The following is a 23,818-nucleotide window of genomic DNA, read 5'->3' on the forward strand; positions in this document are numbered from 1 at the left end:
AGTAACACTGAATCTCCTGTAGAACTAGCCAGAATCTTTACTGATGGTAAATAGATCATCAACCACAAGCTGCATTGGTTAAGTTAAACTAAAATGACACCAGAAACAAAAAGCCATTTCTTGAGATTCTTTGAAATAAAATGCAGTCACATGGTAAATATGTTTAATCTGTATTAATTTTCTTTTTTTTAACTTTTAAAATTTTATTCATTTATTTTGAGACAGAGTCTTGCTCTGTCACTCAGGTTGGAGTGCAAGTGGCACAATCACGGCTCAGTGGAGCCTTGACCTCCTGGGTTCAAGCGATACTCCCACCTCAGCCTCCCAAGTAGCTGGGAATACAGGCACGTGCCACCACACCCAGCTAATTTTTAAAACAAAATTTTTGTAGAGATGACGTCTCGCTTTGTTGCCCAGCCTGGTCTTGAACTCATCCCAAAGTGCTGGGATTACAGGCATGAGCCACTGCACTCAGCCTTAGTTTTCTTAATAAGAGAATCTACCCTAATTTAAAGACGGCTTAGGATTCTGAAATTTGGTAACTAACGTAGGAGGTTTTCACAGACTCAGACTACCAAATCTCATGGTATTGTTTCGTAGGTAGCTGTGGACTTCAACTTTATTGTATTATTTCTATTAATACATTTCAGAAAAAAAACCCTGCAGGGAAAATGTTTTTCCTCATCTAAAGTTTCTGTAACTTGCCTTGTTCATTTATTAGATTGTGATAAACAATGCAGCAGGGAATTTTATTTCTCCTACTGAAAGACTTTCTCCTAATGCTTGGAAAACCATAACTGACATAGTTCTAAATGGCACAGCCTTCGTGACACTAGAAATTGGAAAACAACTAATTAAAGCACAGAAAGGTATGTTTATTTGCTTTTCTCATATTTATTTGGCTTCTGTGTGTGCAAGGTTCTGTGGTAAGCTCTGTGATACTTTAAAAGTCAATGAGACAGTCTACACTTGTACAACTCACAGTGTAATGGAGAAAAATGATATTTAAATAATTATCATATGTTACAATTTGAGCAGTAATAAATATATGTTTCAAGTGCATTGGCAATCCAGAGACAGGAATGACTAACTCTCCCTAGGGTCAGTGATCAGGTTGAGGAACAAGATGCAACTTAAGCTGAAAGTTCAAAGATCTAGATGTGGAGAAAGAGGAGGGAAAGGACATGTGAATGTCAATGGATAGAGGCCTGGTGGAGAGGAGGACATAAGTACATAGGGAATGATGAAAACTTTGATGTCATTAGAGATGGGGAAAGGAATAGGAAATGATTTTGGGAAGGTGGGTTGGAGTGTAATTGGGAGAGTTCTCAATACCAAAATAAGGAGTTTAATGTTAATTCTGAAAGAAATAGGAAGTATTTTTGTATAGATTTCCATTGAAGGTGGAACAAAGAATGCGACTTGATTGGAAAGGTTAGTGACAACAAGATGGATGATAAAAGGAGTGCCATTCAGGAGGATTTGATTTTTCTTTTAGCAGGTGGCTAGATTGCATGGGAGATAAAGTAGAAGACATTTAGAAGACAATAAGATCAACAGGCCTTATTGATTTGATGAGAGTATTTTTAGATGGGATGAAGAGTCTGGATGATAATACCAATGAGATTAAGAACACTGGAGGGAAAATAGATTTAGAAAGAACTTACTAGGAGAACATTTTTGTTAGTATTATGAATGAATTACTTTATAAAAGTTCATATGTACATGGATAGCAAACATGTCTAATGTATATATGTGTGTATATTCATATATATCTAGAACCAGCGTACATTTATTCACCTGACAGACACTTACTAATGACTTTTGGGTAGCAGGCCCTATACTCATGCTCAAAGCACAGAGGTGGACAAGACCCTGTCCCTGAATAATTTGGGGAACTTGAAGGGTGCGGGTATTTTCTCAGAGAAGGTGGAGAGTATTTTAAACAAGGAAAATGAGGAAGCGTTCTCATGCTCCTCAGAGGATGTCCTTTGAGGGTTGAGGGGAGGAAAGAGGGCATGGAGCTGGCTAGGTTCCTCCCTCTGTTCAGAAACCTTTGCCTTATAAGGTTCAATTTCTTCTTTTGTGCAGCGCAGGTGATCCTAGAACCAGCTTGAGATACGCTGTAGGAACAGAGAGATGCTACAGAGGCACTAGCTCTGTGTGTGTGTGTGTCTGCTCACATACATACACTAATAGCTTCCATCCTTTCTATGCACTCATTGAAATTGAAATTCCTGGTTACTCATTTCCATGATGGCAGAATGGATGTGATTTATAATTGGATTTTGGATAAGTGTTTTATTTGATGTTTTTTTTTTCAGTGAGGGGCAGGAAGATGGATAAGAGTGGGAAGGGGGGACAGGGAAGAGTGTGACTCCTCTCTCTTCCCTTCTCTGTCCGAGGAACCTTGATCTCTGTATCTCTCCTGTGTCTCTGCCTCTGTCTGATTTTCTCTCGCCCTACCCCTTGCTGATATCTCCATTTCATTCTCTACTGCTCTGCCTCTGTCAGCTCCTCATTTTTGGTTCTCTGTTTCTCTCTTCATCTGTCTCTTTCGTTTCTTTGTCCTTCTTTGCCTCTTTGTCTCTTATTTCTTCCCTCGCTCATCTCTGTGACCCTCAATTTCTGTCTGACTCTCCCTTCTTCCCTCATTATTGTCTTTCATTTTAACATAGACTCTGATCTATTTTTGTTCATCACATTGGATTAAAATTCTATGAGCTTCATTAAAAATATATTAGATAAAATATCTTTTTAAAAGATGGAAGCCAGTTTTTATTCTTCCAAGATTCCTGTCAGTTATTGATGCTATAAGCTGACAGAGTTTGGAGAACTTGGACCACTCAGCTGAGGGGAGTACGCGGTAAAGGATTTGTTCTGGTACTGGATCGACAGTCAAGGAACTGAAGCGTGACATTTTTAACAATATCATGTCTTCCAGTCTCTCAATGTGGTATCTCTCACCATTTATTTAGGTCTTCTTTAATTCCTATCAGCAGTGTTTTGCATGGGCATTGTACATGTTTTGTTAACTTTCTCCCAAAGTATTTAAATTTTTGGTGCTATTGCAAATGGCACTGTTTTCTAAATGTTATTTTCTAGGTGTTTTCTTGTAGTATTTAGAAATACAATGGATTAGTTTTGTGTATTGATGTATTCCCTAGGAGCTTGCTAAACTCACTTAATGGTTATTACAGTTTTTTTTTGTTTAGATTCCTTTGGATTTTCTGCATTGGTAATACTGTTGGTGAAAAAAAGACAGTTTTTATATTTTCCTTCCCAACTGATAAGCCTTTTATTTTCTTTCTTGCCTTATTTTATTGGATGGGACCTTCACTAAAATATTGAATAGGTAAAAACTTAGATTCTGCTGGTTCCTAGTATTAAGAACAAATCAAATACATTTCCTCCTGATGCCAGGAGGAAAGCAATTAGATTTTCATTATTAATTATGATTTACCTGTAAATTTTCATAAATATCCTTCATCAGCTTTGGGAAGTTATCTTCTATATCTAGTTTGCTGATAGCTTTTTTTTATTATTACACTTTAAGTTCTAGGGTACATGTGCACAACGTGCAGGTTCGTTACATATGTATACATGTGCCATGTTGGTGTGCTGCACTCATTAACTCATCATTTACATTAGGTATATCTCCTAATGCTATCCCTCCTCTCTCCCCCAACCCCATGACAGGCCCCAGTATGTGGTGTTCCCCACCCTGTGTCCAAGTGTTCTTATTGTTCACTTCCCACCTATGAGTGAGAACATGTGGTGTTTGGTTTTCTGTCTTTGCAATAGTTTGCTCAGAATGATGGTTTCCAGCTCCATCCATATCCCTACAAAGGACATGAACTCGTCCTTTTTTATGGCTGCATAGTATTCCATGGTGTATATGTGCCACATTTTCTTAATCCAGTCTATCATTGATGGACATTTGGGTTGGTTCCAAGTCTTTGCTATTGTGAATAGTGCCACAATAAGCATACATGTGCATATGTCTTTATAGCAGCATGATTTATAATCCTTTGGGTATATACCCAGTAATGGGATGGCTGGGTCAAATGGTAATTCTAGTTCTAGATCCTTGAGGAATAGCCACACTGTCTTCCACAATGGTTGAACTAGTTTACAGTCCCACCAACAGTGTAAAAGTGTTCCTATTTTTCCACATCCTCTCCAGCACCTGTTGTTTCCTGACTTTTTAATGATCGCCATTCTAACTGGTGTGAGATGGTATCTCATCGTGGTTTTGATTTGCATTTCTCTGATGGCCAGTGATGATGAGCATTTTTTCATGTGTCTGTTGGCTGCATAAATGTCTTCTTTTGAGAAGTGTCTGTTCAAATCCTTCGCCTACTTTTTGTTGGGGTTGTTTGATTTTTTTCTTGTAAATTTGTTTAAGTTCTTTGTAGATTCTGGATATTAGTCCTTTGTCAGATGGGTAGATTGCATAAATTTTCTCCCATTCTGTAGGTTGCCTGTTCACTCTGATGGTAGTTTCTTTTGCTGTGCAGAAGCTCTTTAGTTTAATTAGATCCCGTTTGTCTATTTTGGCTTTTGTGGCCATTGCTTTTGGTGTTTTAGACATGAAGCCCTTGCCCATGCCTATGTCCTGAATGGTAATGCCTAGGTTTTCTTCTAGGGTTTTTATGGTTTTAGGTCTGACATTTAAGTCTTTAATCCATCATGAATAAATTTTTGTATAAGGAGTAAAAGGAAGGGATCCAGTTTCAGCTTTCTACATATGGCTAGCCAGTTTTCCCAGCACCATTTATTAAATAGGAAATCCTTTCCCCATTGCTTGTTTTTGTCAGGTTTGTCAAAGATCAGATGGTTATAGATGTGTGGTATTACTTCTGAGGGCTCTGTTCTGTTCCATTGATCTATATCTCTGTTTTGGTACCAGTACCATGCTGTTTTGGTTCCTGTAGCCTTGTAGTATAGTTTGAAGTGAGGTAGTATGATGCCTCCAGCTTTGTTCTTTTGGCTTAGGATTGTCTTGGCAATGTGGGCTCTTTTTTGGTTCCATATGAACTTTAAAGTAGTTTTTTCCAATTCTGTGAAGAAAGTCATTGGTAGCTTGATGGGGATGGCATTGAATCTATAAATTACCTTGGGCAGTATGGCCATTTTCATGATATTGATTCTTCCTATCCATGAGCATGGAATGTTCTTCCATTTGTTTGTGTCCTCTTTTATTTCATTGAGCAGTGGTTTGTAGTTCTCCTTGAAGAGGTCCTTCACATCCCTTGTAAGTTGGATTCCTACATATTTTATTTTCTTTGAAGCAATTGTGAATGGGAGTTCACTCATGATTTGGCTTTCTGTTTGTCTGTTATTGCTGTATAGGAATGATGTGATTTTTGCACATTGATTTTGTATCCTGAGACTTTGCTGAATTTGCTTATCAGCTTAAGGAGATTTTGGGCTAAGATGATGGGGTTTTCTAAATATACAATCATGTCATCTGCAAACAGGAACAATTTGACTTCTTCTTTTCCTAATTGAATATCCCTTATTTCTTTCTCCTGCCTGATTGCCCTGGCCAGAACTTCCAACACTATGTTGAATAGGAGTGGTGAGAGAGGGCATCCCTGTCTTGTGCCAGTTTTCACAGAGAATCCTTCCAGTTTTTGCCTATTCAGTATGATATTGGCTCTGGGTTTGTCATAAATAGCTCTTATTATTTTGAGATACGTCCCATCAATACCTAATTTATTGAGAGTTTTTAGCATGAAGGGCGGTTGAATTTTGTCGAAGGCCTTTTCTGCATCTATTGAGATAATAATGTAGTTTTTGTCTTTTGTTCTGTTTGTATGATGGATTACGTTTATTGATTTGCATAATGTTGAACCAGCCTTGCATCCCAGGGATGAAGCCCACTTGATCATGGTGGATAAGCTTTTTGATGTGCTGCTGGATTTGGTTTGCCAGTATTTTACTGAAGATTTTTGCATGGATGTTCATCAGGGATATTGGTCTAAAATTATCTTTTGTTGTTGTGTCTCTGTCAGGCTTTGGTATCAGGATGATACTGGCCTCATAAAATGAGTCAGGGAGGATTCCCTCTTTTTCTATTGATTGGAATAATTTCAGAAGGAATGGTACCAGCTCCTCTTTGTACCTCTGGTGGAATTTGGCTGTGAATCTGTCTGTTCCTGGACTTTTTTTGGTTGGTAGGCTTTTAATTATTGCCTCAATTTCAGAGTGTGTTATTGGTATATTCAGGGATTCAACTTCCTCCTGGTTTAGTCTTGGGTGGGTGTATGTGTCCAGGAATGTATCCATTTCTTCCAGATTTTCTAGTTTATTTGTGTAGAGGTGTTTATAGTATTCTCTGATGAGAGTTTGTATTTCTGTGGGATCGGTGGTGATATCCCCTTTATCATTTTTTATTGCATCTATTTGATTCTTCTCTCTTTTCTTCTTTATTACTCTTGCTGGCAGTCTATCAATTTTGTTGACCTTTCCAAAAACGAGCTCCTGGATTTGTTGATTTTTTGAAGGGTTTTTTGTGTTTCTATCTCCTTCAGTTCTGCTCTGATCTTAGTAATTTCTTGCCTTCTGCTAGCTTTTGAATGTGTTTGCTCTTGCTTCTCTAGTTCTTTTAATTGTGATGTTGGGTGCCCATTTTAGATCTTCCCTGCTTTCTCTTGTGGGCATTTAGTGCTATAAATTTCCCTCTACACACTGCTTTAAATGTGTCCCAGAGATTCTGGTATGTTGTGTCTTTGTTCTCATTGGCTTCAAAGAACATCTTTATTTCTGCTTTCATTTCGTTATGTACCCAGTAGTCATTCAGGAACAGATTGTTCAGTTTCCATGTAGTTGAGCGGTTTTGAGTGAGTTTCTTAAACCTGAGTTGTCGTTTGATTGCACTGTGGTCTGAGAGACAGTTTGTTATAATTTCTGTTCTTTTACATTTGCTGAGGAGTGCTTTACTTCCAACTATGTGGTCAAGTTTGGAATAAGTGAGATGTGGTACTGAGAAGAATATATAGTCTGTTGATTTGGGGTGGAGAGTTCTGTTGATGTCTGTTAGGTCTGCTTGGTGCAGAGCTGAGTTCAATTCCTGGATATCCTTGTTAACTTTCCATCTCGTTGATCTGTCTAATGTTGACAGTGGGTTGTTAAAGTCTCCCATTATTATTGTGTGGGCGTCTACATCTCTTTGTAGGTCTCTAAGGACTTGCTTTATGAATCTGGGTGCTCCTGTATTGGGTGCATATATGTTTAGGATAGTTAGCTCTTCCTGTTGAATTGATCCCTTTATCATTATATAATGGCCTTTCTCTCTTCTGATCTTTGTTGGTTTAAAGTCTGTTTTATCAGAGACTAGGATTACAACCCCTGCTTTTTTTGTTTTCCATTTGCTTGGTAGATCTTCCTCCATCCCTTTATTTTGAGCCTATGTGTGTCTCTGCAGGTGAGATGGGTCTCCTGAATACAGCACACTGATGGGTCTTGACTCTTTATCCAATTTGCCAGTCTGTGTCTTTTAATTGGAGCATTTAGCCCATTTACATTTAAGATTTATATTGTTATGTGTGAGTTTGATCCTGTGATTATAGTTTTTTTTTTAAAAAAAAATCGTGAATAAGTATTGAATTTGTTAATATAAGCCTTCTTTCTACATTTATTGAGATGGGTATATTTTTAAGCCTGTTAATATGGTGAATTACATTAATTAATTTTTGAATATTGAACACCATTGCATTCCTAGGCTGAATCTTCCTTCATTTTGGTAAATTATCCTAGTTATATATTGCTAGATTTGTTTTGCTGAAATTTTCTTAATGCTTACTTTGTCATTTTCCAAGTGTTACTTTTCATTGAGCTTCTTAGCTTCTGTGCTTGCTTAGTTTAGTGATTAGGATTTGAGGGGAGTTTATATGCAGATGTTACCTCGTCCTTTGCACCTGCTCTGGCAGCTTTGTCCAACAGGTGATAGGTTGGCTACAGCCTTGCTTTGCGAAATTGTTACTTTAACCTGAATCCAACAAAAGCCTCTTGTGCCGCCATCAGAGGCATATTATATAAGTGTTCAACATAGTGTGATACTCTTCATATTTGGATTTTTTTTTAGCATCTTAAGTTACTTAACATTCAAGTTAAAATGTTGGCCTCATGTCTATTATTGTCTTAAAATTACATTTTGATTGTATCTAGATAAAACTATTTTTCTTAAAAAATTTTTTTTGCTTTTCTTGCATGTATTTATTGAAAAAATATATGACAGCCTACTCAGATATTGTACTTGATTTTGGACTAGCTTTGGTGTTGAGTCACATGGATTACTTTATACCAGAAAGCTAGAATTCCTTATACCTAAGAACATATGAGAATTCTATAGTGATTCCCACAAGTTGTATATTAAATAAAGGTATATGATGTAACAGGTGTTGGAATACAGAACAAGCAAAATGTGAAATATTCTTTTTAAAGACATTACCTAATTTTAACCAAATTTTCACTTATTTTTACTTCCTTCTTTCCTTCCTCCCTCCTTCCCTTCCTTCCTCCCTTCCTTTCTTTTTTTCCCTTATAAAAATCTTTCCTTCCTTCTTTTTTTCTTTCTTTCTTTCATATCTAATGTTTATTGAGTGCTTATTTTGTATCAGGCTTTGTTCTAAGTGCTAAATACTTATTAACTCATTTAACACTTGCAATGACCTTGCAAGTAAGTGCTCTTTTATTCCCATTTATAGACATGGGTGGAAACTGACGTACAATCTTTTTTTAATGTAGGAAGTGAATTTTTAACGCTCACATTTACAGATGAGAAACTATGGCTTATTAATTACCTAAGTGTTAACTATTACTATTAAAATCGACAATTGACATAATTTAAAAAATTAGTTGTTGTAAGTGGTCTAGTAGAGAAAAAGAAGGAACTGTGACTTTTTATTGTAGTCATAGTCACTTAGTTTACACCTGATACTTGGACAGTTAGTGAGTGACGATATTTTACTGTTATTCAGCTTTTTCATCTATAAAATATACTTGATAATAAATTACTACTCCAATATTTAGTAACAGAACAAGGCGTTAGGTGTAGAAGCCTCATGAAAAATATAAATTGTTTTACAGATGTACATGTGCTTTTTCTTACATGTGAATGGACATCCGATAGCCTAGCTAACATAAAGACTTTGGTGGAAATAACTTTTAAGAACCTCAGAGAATTTAAAACTAAGAAGTAGAAGCAACCCAAGGAAGCTTGAACCATATGGAGCTTGTGTTGGGGAAAGGGAAAGAGTGAAGTGAATAATCTTACCAGCAGCCTTGTGATAGAGGAAGAGAATAAATGTAAATCACCAACTGAAGAAAGAATAAAAACAAAGGACTGTTTTAGTTAATAGAGAAGAAGAAACAGTTTTCAAGGCCAGAGGCCTTGGAAGCATTGAACTAAGTAAAGTACATTATACTGTTTTTACAGTTTAATTAAATTATCAGAAAACACAAGATTTTTTAACCATCTTGCTGTTCTTCTGGAGTCCCTGATGTGTGAACCGTAAACACAAGAATAAATTTCAAAACATTCCTTTTTCCAACCCATAGACATTGTACTTGGCCAGTTACTCTTCCTTGTCCTCCATAATGGAGCACCCTCAGCCTGTCCAGTCTCTATACTAGCCCGTTTGACTGATCCAGTACACATGCCCTGATTAGAATCATTCTTTACCTGAGCCATAGAGTCTCCATTCCCAGCTCTAGTCCACTCCTCACTGAAGGATTACCAGTTCAGGGGCTAGCATGCATACTTTAGCACAGTGGTCCCCAGCCCTTTTGGCACCAGGGACCATTTTCGTGAAAGAAAATTTTTTCACAGACCAGGGGAAGGTGCAGGGGGTGGTTTTGGGATGAAACTGTTTCACCTCAGATCATCAGGCATTAGAGTATCATAAGGAATGTGCAAGCTAGATTCCTTGCATGTGTAGTTTGCAATAGGGTTTGCGCTCCTATGATAACCTAATGTCACCGCTGATCTGACATTAGGTGGAGCTCAGGCAGTAATGCTGGCTCACCTACTGCTCACTTCTTGCTGTGTGGCCTGGTTTCTAACTGGCCATAGACTGGTATGGGGCTGGGGTGTGGGGGTCCCCTGCTTTAGCACTTAAAAACATGCTACATCTAGTTATTGTTTCATGTTGTAAGTCTCCTTTTCCATCAACTCTCCGTCCATTACAAATTCTTTTATCAGGGTGCATTACTTCTGCCCTACCTGCAAAGCCTTTCCATTCCTTCCCCACCATTTCCTAACTCAACACTGAACACAAATGTGGTGCTTTGTTTATGCAGTGAAACATTTTGGAGACCTGCAAAAGGAAGGTGAGTTGAGTACATACTTAACACTTCTTTCAATTATGTCCTTCAACTTTACTATTGGAGGGAAAAGATGACCAGTCATTGACATGATCAGTTGGAATGGAAGCAAATGCACCTTGTTTCAGAAGTGGGAAGAGTAGAGCATAGCAGAAGGCTTTCCTTATTCGTCAGTAGTGTGAGTGCAAGGTGTATGTTGCTTAGAGTATATAAGAACCACATAAGTACATTTCTTTATATTGTGTCCAGAGATTTTGTTTTTTTCTAGAACAGTGGGTGCATCTAAAGAATATTTGAAAACACATTTTTAGTTATCAGTTGAAATTTATTAAGGTGGTATTAGTATCCTTTTGAAATCACTTTTTTCTAGAGTCATCTCGTTTGATGGGAGAGTTCAACCTCATCTGTTAAAATTTCTTAGAGCAACTGTGTACCTTATTTTGATGTTTTTTGAAGATAAGGTAAAGGTAAAGCGATTTGAGAATTTTGAAAATAAATTAGTTTTTCTTTCTAAGTAGTAATTAGAAATTTCTTGGCAAGGCAGTAGTAGTTACATAGTAGTTAAGAGTGCAGGCTCTAGAGCTTAACTGCCAAGTTCCAATCCTGGTTAATACTTATTAGTCCTATCAACTTGGACAGATTAGCTTGCTGTGCCTGTCTTTTCTGTAAAATAATGTTGATAATAAAGCCTTCCTCCTAGGATTGCTGTAATGATTATAAGAGCTAGTGTCTATAAAGTGTTAAGAATAGTTCCCGGGGCAGACTAGTACTCAATAAATGTTAGTTATGAAAGAAAATGTTAAGTTTCCTCCAAGATAAATGTATTTTTACCACGTCTTTTACAAGGGGACTATCAACTATCTGAAACTTAGGTTTTGACTCATAATTAAAATTAGTTAGAAAAACCAGAGCCCTGATATCCCTTCTTACTATAATTAAACTTAAAAATAGCAGCCTACATGAGGGACATATTTATATTAAATGTTTAAATGAGAAAAGTGTTTCCTTAGTAGATAATATTATTTATGTAGGGTTATTCTAGTTTTTAAATGTTATAGTCCTATTTTGAGTAGCTTTTAGAGAATTAAGGATTTTTAGATTTTCATATGGGCTCTCATTGAAAAATGGCTCGGAGACAGGTATCCTCTGTGCCCTCATCAAAAAGACAGAGAAGTTTGTCTTCTTACCATGATTGTCAGTAAGATTAATTGCTAGCAATAATAGTAGAAGAGTTAGAACTGCAACCAACAGCTCAGTTGTGTATTTAGGCATACAAGGAGTTCAGTGTTGCTTATATGTGACATATAATGCCTGGAGGGGTAGGAGATGAGGCCAAGCAATGTGGTCTTTATCCTTCGGTGATAGGTAAAGTTAAACAAGGATTAAAAAAAAATTAAGATACTTTATTTCTGTTTGTTGGAAAGTTGACATAATACACTATACTAGTCCCCCATTGTGGGGACCACAAATGACCACAAACTTAACAGCTTAATATATCATATGCTTATAATTTTATAATTCTGTTTTTTTCAAGTAAATGCACAGAGTTGCTTGGCTGGTTTCTCTGCTTCAGATCTTATAGGCTAATATCAGGGAGTCACCCAGCAGAGCTCATGTCTTGGAGGCTCTAGAAAGAGTCTGTATCCAGGCTCATTTAGGTCGTTGGAAGAATCAAGTTTCTTGTGGTTGTAGGACTGAAGTGTATATGTTCATGGTTACTGTCAGCTTAGGGCCACCCTATCTCCTAGGGACCTCTCTCTGATCCTTACATAGGGACTGGTACATCTCAGAGCCAGCAATACCACAATATGTCTTTCTCATGCTTAGGGACTGACTTTCTCTTCTACCACATCTCTCTTGCCTGCTCCTTAAAATTCATCTTTCTGACTACAGCCAGAGAAAGTTGTCTGTTTTTAAGAGTTCACGTGATTAGACTGTGTTACTTGGATAATCCCAGAAAGGCCCCTCTCTTAAATCCTGTAATCTTTCTTAATGTCTTCAAAGTTATTTTGCCAAGTAAAATAAGAAATTCAGTTCTTAGGAATTAGGGCATGGGATCTTTAAGTGGGGCCATTCTGCCCACATATATTTCTTATCTTGTTAGAAAGGAAACCCTCAGAACAACAAGAATATTTTGAAATAAGTAAATAATCATGTAATATCTGTAATGTAAAACATGCTTCCTTAGATATGGCACCCTTATGCACTGCTCAACCATGTGTAGCAGCCCTGACCTACCGGCCGTTCAACAAATTCTTGGATGTGTCTGTGAAACTAGGGGGCTGGGTTGCCTGTTGGAGTTACCTTCCATTCTGGTGATGTTTCCTAACGCAACTTGCCAAATTATTAATACACAGCTAGTAAATGGCAGTCTTTTTGCATGAGAGCGGAAGAGTAATAGGTGGAATCAACAACAGCAGTAAATTAACAAGTAATCCTTAGAATCTAATGACATTTGCTGGATACGCCCTATGTTCCTGTTTTACAGGTGATAAATCTAGGGTCCAGAGCAGGGATGCGACTTCCCCAGTCTCATAGCTACACAGCTAGTAAATAGTGGAATCAGTTTCTGAGCCCAGGTGTCTATACTATTCCCCTTCTGTTGGTCATTGGAACTAAATTTGTTTAGTGATTCTTTCAATTCATAGTTTGTATTGAAACCAGATTTTAGAACTTTTGAATCTTCTTTTGAAATTAGATCATAATCTTGCACATATCATAGCTTTTTTGATAGATAATATGATTTTTGATGTTCTTTTATTACTATTTTTTTCCATTTCAAAATAACAAAGGATGGACTAACATAATATTTATTTCATTTATTGCTTCCCTTCTCTATTTTCTTAACCTCATTAATAATATAGATTCATTTCTGTTGTCTGCTCTGAGCTGTTAGAAACTTGACTTTTATAAAGCTTTTCCATGAGCAGTTATTCTAACTGAAATAATGGGCCTCTGTACAAGAAGGAAAATATATGTGACTAACCCTGGGGATCTAGGAATTCTTTACTTTGCACTTTAGCACCACTGTTCATTTTTTTGAAGCCGATAATTGTTTCACCTTGCAGCATTAATGCTATTGGAACAGTGCAGTTTCAAACCTTTATCTCCCTTTTACACTCATGAGAATTAAAAGCTGCAGTATATTATTCTAAGAGGTGGGCTACCCAAATTTTCTAGGCTGAGAAAATAAAACCTTAAAGGGATAAAAAGAATAGTAAAATAACTTTCATTTCAGCATCTAAATTGTAGTAGGATGGCTTAACTCCTTTCCCACACTTGGAGAAATGTATTTGTTCAGTCTTAGTTGAAAGATAGTGCACTTTCCATTGGAGCATTTGCTTTGTATTTGCCACTTTTAAAGCAGTTTTTTTTCTTTTGTAATTTTGCTATAAGAATGATACAGTTAGCATCTGTTGTCAATGTACTGTAATGGAGCCCACTAATGTTCTACATCCCTCCTCTTTCATGGAGTACGATTTTGGAAGCAAAGTAATTTTCAGCAATCTGAAAGGCTGTTTGATATATAGAAGGAGTTACCAGAATGATTAACATAACCATTCTTATTTTTTCCTATCCTCAAAATGGTACTCCTGCCCCCTCTTCCACCCCCGTGTTTCCCAGGATGTGCTGAGTTTTCTTTCTACTCTGGAACATGCTGAGAGAAAGAGAAACTAAATATATGGAGCAGAGAAAAAACTTATCTGAATATTCTTCAAAATACTTTCCTTGTAGTCCTTCAAATTTAAATTTCTAAAAGTATTTGCTGTTATGTAAAAGATGTAAACTTATTTTGATCCTTTTGCAAATATTAAGTATTGTCTTATCCCGTGTTATGAATAAATAAGAAGTAGAGAAATCACTGATTTCTCAGGACCTAAAGATTACCCTTTTAAGCCTTTATTTGTTTATTTATTTATTTGTTTGTTTGTTTATTTATTTATTTTTTGAGATGGAGTCTCACTCTTGTCACCCAGACTGGAGTGCACTGGCATCATCTCGGCTCACTGCATCCTCTGCCTCCTGGGTTCAAGTGATTCTCCTGCCTCAGCCTCCTGAGTAGCTGGAATTACAGGCATGCCCTACCACACCTGGCTAATTTTTGTATTTTTAGTACAGGCAGGATTTCACTATGTTGGCCAGGCTGGTCTCGAACTCCTGACCTCAGGTGATTTGCTCCCCTTGGTCTCCCAAAGTGCTGGGATTACAGGCATGAGCCACTGTGCCTGGCCTTATTCAGTTAATTTATTGAGAACCTGCTGTGTCCTAGACACTATTGACCACTGTATATGCAGTATCACTTTGTAATATAGCTTTTATACAATCATTTTAAAAAGAAATTTAGAAAACAAGAAAAAATATTTTATATTTACCTACATATTTACTATTTCTTTCCTTTTGACAATCTCAGTTTCTCTATAATATCATTTTCATATCACCTTGATTTTTGAAGGGTATTTTTGATGGATATGGAATTCAGAGTTAAGTTTTATCTTTCAACACCTTAAAAATATAACTCCATTGTCTTCTAGCTTACATTATTTTTAGAAATGAGAAGACAATGAAAATTTTTGTCTGTGTTTGTGTATTTTTATTGCTTATTTTTACCTTTGGCTGCAATTAGGATTCTATATATCATTGGTTTTCAGTTATTGATTATGATAATGTATTGATTTTTTTCCCTGTTTATCCTGCTTGGGATTCATTTAGCTTTCTGCATTGTAAGTTATAGTTTTTACCAAATTCGGAATTTTTTTAGTCCTTATTCAAGTGCTTTTTCTTCCTCTGTGACTCTAACTATACGTTTGTTAGAATGCTAGATACTGTTCCATAGGTCAGTGAGGTTCTGGGTTTTTCCTCAGTTTTTTTTTTCCCATTTGTCTTTCATTTTGGATAGTTTATATTGCTGTGTCTTCAGATTCATGGATCTTTTCTTCTACAGCTAAGCTTATTTGTTCAATTTTTCCTTTCAGATGCTGTATTTTTCTGCTGTAGAAGCCATATTGGTTTCTATTTTGTATTTTCCATTTTTCTCATCATATAAATATTTTCAGTGAAATCTTTTAAAATATTTGTAATAGCATTTAAAAGGCTGTTTGTCTGCTACATCTGTCTTCTCTGTCATTTCTGGGACTCTTTGTCTATTAATCATTTTTCTCCTTGTTAGGTTTCTGTGTCTTTTTATGTGCAGTAATTTTTTATTGCATGCTGTGAATGTTATGTTGTTGTTCTGTGTTTGTGTCTGTGTGTATTTTAATTTTCTTTTGAGGTGTGTGGTTTTTTTTATTTTGGAAAGCTTCTAAATTACTTATGCATCAGCCTAATCATTTTTAAGGGTCATTTTAAAGCTTTATTTCAGCAAGTATATAGTAGTCCTTACTTTGGGGCTAATTTAACCCTCCTACTAAGGCATTTTTTTTTCTGAGCTCTCTACTGAAAGCTCTGGATGTTCAGTGAAGCTGCTTAGAACTCCCATGTCTCCCAGCCCTATGCAAGCTCTGGGAATTGCATCACTTACAGCTTCCTAGTAGTTGTTCTTTGCCTGGCCTCAATGGAATCTCACACTAAACATGTACAGCTTATTTGTCTAAAGACTCTTTGAGACTCCATGCAGCTTTATGGAGTTCTATTAATATCTCTGCCTACTTTCCTCCTTGGAGGAACTCTTAGAAACCTTAGTTTCCTCAGGCTCCCCAAACCGATCTCTATCTTCTTAACTCAGTGTGAATGCCATTTTCTGCTTAGATTCCTCCTCCTCATCCTTCCATCTATATAGTATCTTTAGGCAAAAAGCTAGGGTATCTCAGGGCTTAGTCATTTTCCTTCTATCAGAGTCATAGTCCTTCCCTGCCTGCTGTGCAGTATCTGTATATAATTGTAGCATATGTCTTACTCAGTTTTCTTGATGTTTACAGCAGAAGGGTAAGTTCATTATGGCTGGAGGCAGAAGTCCCTGCTAGTTTAAGTTTAATTCTGATTTATTCTTATTCAAGTAGTACTTAGTTAATGGGAATCCTGACCAGCTGATTATACAAGGTGCAATAGGGGCATGCCTCTGAGATTTGGGCTTTCGTATTGACTCGCCAGGCATACATTCCAAGTAAGTGCAGATTGGGCCATCCTAAATCATAAGATTAGTAGCAAGACATATCAATTTTCTTAGGTTACTCTCTCATTAATTTAGAGTGAGTGAAGTTTTAAAAAATACTTTAGTTTTTCTTATACCCTCTTTAATCAGATCCCATTTTTATAAATAATGTTTTCCTTATGTGTAGTGATACATCTATATTGCTAATCAACTGTATCCTTTTAAAATTTCAGGAGCAGCATTTCTTTCTATTACTACTATCTATGCTGAGACTGGTTCAGGTTTTGTAGTACCAAGTGCTTCTGCCAAAGCAGGTGTGGAAGCCATGAGCAAGTAAGTACTTCCTTGTCAATCCTGTTGCTGAACATAACTAATACAGTTGGTGGCTCAGGGAACTGTATTCCTGCTTTCTGGTGTCCATCCAGAGAAAAGTAAACAAAGACTTGGATTCACCATGAGACATACATTTTATCTCCCAGATAAGTCCTATTTGTCTATAGCAGCGCTGTCCTGTGGAACTTTCTGCAGTGATGTAAATGTTCTGTAAATATGCACTATCCAGTATCCACATGTAGATATTGAACCCTTGGAATATCCCACTGTGACTGAGAAACTAAATTTTAAAAATTAGTAGCTGTATATGGCTAGTGGCTACATATTAGACACCACAGGACTATAGCTTTTTTGCTCTCCCATAGATCTTTATCAGTGCCATCCCTAACCCCTCTCATAAGCACACGTTTATTCTTTTATTGTAGATACTGTATAAGATTAATGGGACTAACACAGACTATGAGCACTTCCCAAGTCCAGTGGCCTTTTCTCAGCAGAGTATAACTGCTTTTTTTTTTTTTTTTGAGACAGGACTTCAGTCTGTTGCCCAAGCTGGATTGCAGTGGTGCAATCACAGCTTATTGCAGCCTTAATCTCCCAGACTCAAGCGATCCTCCCACCTTAGCCTCCCAAGTAGCTGGGACTACAAGCAGGTGCCACAGCGCCTGGCTAATTTTTAAAATTTTTTTGTAGAGATGAGGTCTTGCTATGTTGCCCAGGCTGGTCTGGAACTCCTGACCTCAAGAAATCCTCCTGCCTCAGCCTCCCAAAGTGCTGGGATTACAGGCATGAGCCACTACACCCAGCCATGATTGCTTTTTGAATTTGTCCTCCACTGGCCTTTTCCATTGTCTTTATTATAATGGGGCTTCTCATCATTTCATTGCTTGTCTGGCTTGCTATAATCATGGTATATTTCTTTACTACCAGTCTCTTCCCCCTGTATTTTGTATTCACATTTTCACCAGAATTATCTTTCTAAGAACATATATGTCTGCTCACGACACTCCCCAGCTAAAAATCTTAGATCATTTCCTGTCACTCTTTGGAATAAAAGCCAGAACTCACTATGGCATTCTAAACAGACTTGTCTCTGGCCATTGTTAATTAATTTATTTATTCAATAAATATTTATTGTGTACCTTATATATGCTTCGTCCTAGGGATATGATAGTGATGGAAATAGAACAGTCCTCGTTGTTAGCTGAGCTTAAATTTTTTTACTATTCCATTTATTATTTCCATGCTTTAATTTCCATTGAACTGTTCCATGTTTCCCTAAACTTACCATACAGCTTTCATATGTCTATGGCTGAGTTATATTGTTGTTGGAATTTTGCTGTGATGTTTTGCTTACTTCCTTTGAGATGTTTTCTCTGTAATCATTTCCTCCTCTCTGTGCCTTAAAACTTTGTTTAATCCAATCTAGTGAGAGGACAAACACTAATAAATAGATTCTAAAATGAAGGTAATATACCAATGTAGCAGAGAGAGAGAGCAGGGCATCGCGGGCCTTTTTTTTTTTTTTTTTTTTTGAGACGGAGTTTTGCTCTTGTTGCCCAGGCTGGAGTGCAATGGTGCCATCTTGGCTCACCGCAACCTGTGCCTCCTGGGTTCAAGCGATTCTCCTGCCTCAGCCTTCCAAGGAGCTGAGATTACAGGCATATGCCACCACACCTGGCTAATTTTGTACTTTTAGTAGAGATGGGATTTCCTCCATTAACGTAACATTAAACAATCTGACTTCCCCACTTGGACCAGAAGAGTCTGGTCCGTAGCTGGTGCTTCATGCTTGTTGAGCTGAATTATGGTACTCTTCTTTTAGTAGTCCCAGAGCATTTTTAATATTTAAGTCAGTAAATACACATTAGTTTGAGATAGAAAGAAATATTTATTCACAAGCTGAATCTTAGTCTGAAAAGAGATAATTACCATTTTTTAAGGTCAGGTAGTGTTGGAAATAAAGGATGAGAACTTGACTATTTTGGCAGCATTTGTTCAATGTCAATATTTGTTTTGTGAGGACTCTTCAGTCTTGTTAGAGCTTTTTATCTCATGTCCTTTAAGAACTGATTTGGTGCTGCTTTTATTGTGTTCCTGCATATAATAGATGCTCATTAAACATGTGCCTTCCTTTACAGCTTGAGTTCCCATCAACCTTCTTCTCATACTTTATAGTACACAGTCTTACTAAATAAGGCATTATAGGTTCCCAAATTCTACATGTTGTTTGGGCCCTTGTCCTTTACTCATACTGACCCATATGCCTTGGCTGTCTTCCTTCTCCATCTGTATTAGTCCGTTCTCACTCTGCTATGAAGAAATACCTGAGACTGGGTAATTTATAAAGAAAAGAGGTTTAATTGACTCACAGTTTCCACATGGCTAGGGAGGCCTCAGGAAACTTAGAATCATGGTGGAAGGCACCTCTTCACAGGGCAGCAGGAAAGAGAATGTGTTCCAAGTGAAGGGGTAAGCCCCTTATAAAACTATCAGATCTTGTGAGAACTCACTCACTATCATGAGAACAGCATGGGGAAAACTGTCTTCAGGATTCAGTTATGTCTACCTGGTCCCACCCTTGACATGTGGGGATTATTACAATTCAGAGTGAGATTTGGGTGGGGACACAGAGCCAAACCATGTCACCATCCTACCTTCTTAATCTCTCAGCTCCTCCTTTCCCCTGCCTCTTGCAGCAAACTCCTAATCCTTCTTCACCCATCAGCTCAGAATGTTACCTTTTCAGAGAAGCCTTCCTTGTCACTCCCACTTAGGTTCTTCTTCTTTTAAGCAGGTATAGCTTACATCACACAATTCCCAGCCTAGTAACTGATTCATTATATAACCAGGCTCACCTCTCTTGAGAGGGAGGGACTCTCATTTGAGAGCAGGGACTGACTTTATTTGAGGCTAAGCAATATTTATAGTATTGACACATGGTAAGTATATAATAAACATTGGTTGAATGAGCAATAATAATGGCTAACATATTGCATATATTGTTCTTAGCATCTTAACATGCAGAGATAACTGTATGAGGTGGATTCATTATCAGATTACAGTAGTTCTTCAGTATATCAGCTAGCTTAATGACAGTTGAAAGATCATGCTAGCAATTGAACAAATGTATCTGGCACACCTCTGAGCACAGAGAGGATGGCTTTTCCTCTAGGCAGATTTTCTTAACAGGTTGCTCAGTTTTTCATAGGATAATATAGACTCTGCTCAGTACAGTAATTCTATTAAGACATGAAGCAATTTAGAGTAGATACACTATAAATAAATGCCCAGGGTAGCTATGGCAATGAACTTTGTCAAAAACATCACTCAGAGAAGCAATTTTTATGTATGTTCTGTCTGAAAGAGATACAGCCCACCCATTTCTCTAAAATACATTCATGGATTAAGTCAGATTAACAGGCTATCTTGAGATTACGTGTACCCTATTCTGTAGAACTGGTTTTACTGAATTGGCCTTTGAAATGATGCTATAAGACTATTAACGGATGTCTGATAGTTTCATAGAACTTAGCGCATTTTTAAAATTATACTTTAAGTTCTGGGATACATGTGCAGAATGTGCAGGTTTGTTACATAGGTATACATGTGCCATGGTGGTTTGCAGCACCCACCAACCCGTCATTTACATTAGGAATTTTTCCTAATGCTATCCCTCCCCTAGCTCTCCACCCCTTGACAGACCCAGTGTGTGATGTTCCCCTTCCTGTGTCCATGTGTTCTCATTGTTCAGCTCCCACTTATGAGTAAGAACATGCAGTATTTGATTTTCTGTTCCTGTGTTAGTTTGCTGAGAATGACAGTTTCCAGCTTCATCCACATCCCTGCAAAGTACATGAACTCATCCTTTATTATGGCTGCACAGTATTCCATGGTGTATATGTGCCACATTTTCTTTATCCAGTCTATCATTGATGGGCATTTGGGTTGGTTCTAAGTCTTTGCTATTAAGAACAGTGCTGCAATAAACATATGTGTGCATGTGTCTTTATAGTAGAATTATTTATAATCCTTTGAGTATATACCCAGTAATGGGATGGCTGGGTCAAATGGTATTTCTAGTTCTAGATCCTTGAGGAATCACCACACTCTCTCCCACAATGGCTGAACTAATTTACAGTCCCACCAACAGTGTAAAAGTGTTCCTATTTCTCCACATCCTCTCCAGCATCTGTTGTTTCCTGACTTTTTAATGATTGCCATTCTAACTGGCATGAGATGGTATCTCGTGGTTTTGATTTGCATTTCTCTAATGATCAGTGATGATGAGCTTTTTTTTTCATAGTTTGCTGGCTGCGTAAATGTCTTCTTTTGAGAAGCGTCTGTTCATATCCTTCCCCCACTTTTTGATGGGGTTGTTTGTGTTTAAGTTTAATTTGTTTAAGTTCTTTAAGTTCTTTGTAGATTCTGGATATTAGCCATTTATCAGATGGATAGATTGCAAAGCTTTTCTCCCATTCTGTAGGTTGCCTGTGCACTCTGATGATAGTTTCTTTTGCTGTGCACAAGTTCTTTAGTTTAATTAGATCCCATTTGTCAAGTTTGAACTTAGCCCATTTTATCTATTGCAAGGATACAGTGTCTTAAGGAGATTGTTATACTGTACAATTTTCCTTTTGTAAGTCTAGAAAGACTTAAAGCATTTTTCGTATTAGAGACAATTGTGCTTTTCCTGAGCAATTAGCTTGCTTTTTCTTTATGGGTACTGTGGATTGTGTAACTGATTAGGCTTACCTTTTTTGTATAGAGTCATGGGAAGAATAGATACAAATTTGTGATGTGACTATTGCAGTTATATGGAACATCACACACTTCAGTACATTTAGATATTAGCCTCATTCTTGGCTCCGTTATATTTCGTTATCCTGGCTTTTCTCTCTCTTTATCTTGCTTTTTTTCTTTCCTTCTTCCTTTCAAATTATCCTGTCTTCCTCATTTGCATTATATGAATTCTTTTAAGCTACCTCGTCATTATTTGAAATTACATTAAGTATATATACACACAAATATACATATGAATGTAAATTCCTAAAATGAATTTAGATTTTAAAAGAGCTACCTGTAAAGTAAGCTTTTAAAACAAGTTCCTTTGAAGTTCTTTGTTTGCTATTAGTGTTATATTTTTCTTCAGGACATTAAGCAAGATTTTGTTAGATTCCTATTTCCTTTCAAGTTTGGTTCAACAATTATATTAAAGCCTAGTTAGACATGGATGTGGTTTATATTTTCAATCGATGTACTCTTTTACTCAAATAAAGCACTTGTGATATTACAGACATTGTAATCCAATGTACAGGGCTATGAGTAAAGTTATAATGAACTTTGTAACTACAAGACTGAACTCCAGAAAATGTGAGGGAAGGGCATGAAGCACTCACGTTTTTATGTGAATAATGAATACCTACTCTAAAAATGTGTATTGACATTGGACAAAAGTATATATTCTAAACTACAAATGGTAGGTGGTGTAGCATAGTGGTTAAGGACACTAAAATGTAAAGGTTAGGTTGTACAGTAGAGTGACTAAGGGTACAGACTGAAGCTAGACCTCTTGAGATTGACAAATTGGCCATATGACATAGAGAAAATGATTTAACCTCTCTGTGCCTTAGTTACATTATCTGTAATATAGGGAACAATAATAGTACCTACCTGTTGGGGTTGTAATCTCTGGCATGTAGTAAGCATCTAGTGAGTCTCAGTTATTACTGTCTTTAACATATGGTATAATATTTCAGAATGTATGTTGTTGATTTTAATTTTTAGGTCTCTTGCAGCTGAATGGGGTAAATATGGAATGCGATTCAATGTGATTCAACCAGGGCCTATAAAAACCAAAGTAAGTTGTATTTTGCTTGTTATCACATTGTGAATGATTAAATAATGAAACACTGATAGGTATATTCTGGTTGTTGTGTAAAGGACTTTCCAGAGATGCCTAGGTTTAGAGCCCTGGTTCTAGGGAAGAGGCCTTTGCCTTTATTCATTATCGAATATAAGAAATAAGGAGGCGGGCAGGAATATAGCAGCTATGCAATTTCTTCATAATGTCAATTTCAGTGTCTTAATCGTTTGGGATCTTTTATACCATCAATGTTGGCACTTTGTCTGATTTGTTTCAGTGGTCTGTTATTGTCCTGTATTTGTTAACTTTCATGACATTTTAAAGGCTCCTACATTGTCTGACATCCTTTTTTAAAAAAAATCAAGGAAATGTAACTATATTTTTAGTTTGAGAGATGCTTTGGTAACTTATTATATAGGCTTTGTCTTGTTATAGGTAGGTAGCATTTTCCTTGACTCATGCTTGTGCCCTTTCACTCTCAGTCAATTATGCATGTCATCTAACGCCCACATGTCTCTGATTATAAGTCCTTCTGACAGCATAGATTTCACCTATAAGTAATAATCCTTGTGGATACTCATTGCAACTTGTAATTATCTCTAATGTTGTTACAGATGTTGCTCAGAATATCCACACCTTCTCTGCTCTCTCATTATCCCAAAATAACTTCACTCACACTTCTCTTGGTTTTCACCTAAAGCAAGTATTTATAATGCCAACCAGATGTAATGTTGAAAGACCAGGAAAAATTTGGTAACTTGTTTCAGTTGTGTAAACATATTGGAAAATAATACTAAAGGACTTTTGGGTTATAGGTAGCTCTGGGTATTAAAAATAACTTGGAAATGGCCATATTAGTTTATTTAGCAGTTTAAAGGATGGGAAATAGAAACAAAAACTTCCTGAGTGATTGAAACTTGTTGACTATCTTATTTATCTGACAATTCAATACTAAACAGTCTAATAAAATTAGTGGAAAGAAACTTAAAAACATACATTAAAACACATGATTCAGGGTGGCCCTGTCCTAAGCATATCTGAAAATAGGCTTATAGACACAAACGCTTCTCTCCAAGACCCCAATATCTAGGGAAAAATCACCTGCATTTTATTTATTTAACCTATATTTATTGACTGTTCACTGTATCTACGGGTACTGAGAAAGATACAGAAGTATCTCTGAGAAAGTGCTTGCCACT

The 23,818-nt window shown here is 36.9% G+C and overlaps 1 protein-coding gene across 6 annotated transcripts in view; it reads left to right on the forward strand.

Annotated features, from left to right (window-relative positions):
- DECR1 (2,4-dienoyl-CoA reductase 1) overlaps positions 1-23,818 on the forward strand; it is a 52,157-nt gene that overhangs the window by 18,711 nt on the left and 9,628 nt on the right. For all 6 annotated transcript variants that reach the window (XM_047421410.1, NM_001330575.2, XM_011516880.4 and 3 more), the window contains 3 exons: positions 722-869; positions 16,654-16,753; positions 22,541-22,613. In XM_047421410.1, the coding sequence (XP_047277366.1) occupies positions 722-869; positions 16,654-16,753; positions 22,541-22,613 (321 nt within the window). The remainder of the gene's footprint in view (positions 1-721; positions 870-16,653; positions 16,754-22,540; positions 22,614-23,818) is intronic.

This window comes from Homo sapiens, chromosome 8 (assembly GCF_000001405.40).
Source record: "Homo sapiens chromosome 8, GRCh38.p14 Primary Assembly".
NCBI classification, from domain to species: Eukaryota; Metazoa; Chordata; class Mammalia; order Primates; family Hominidae; genus Homo; species Homo sapiens.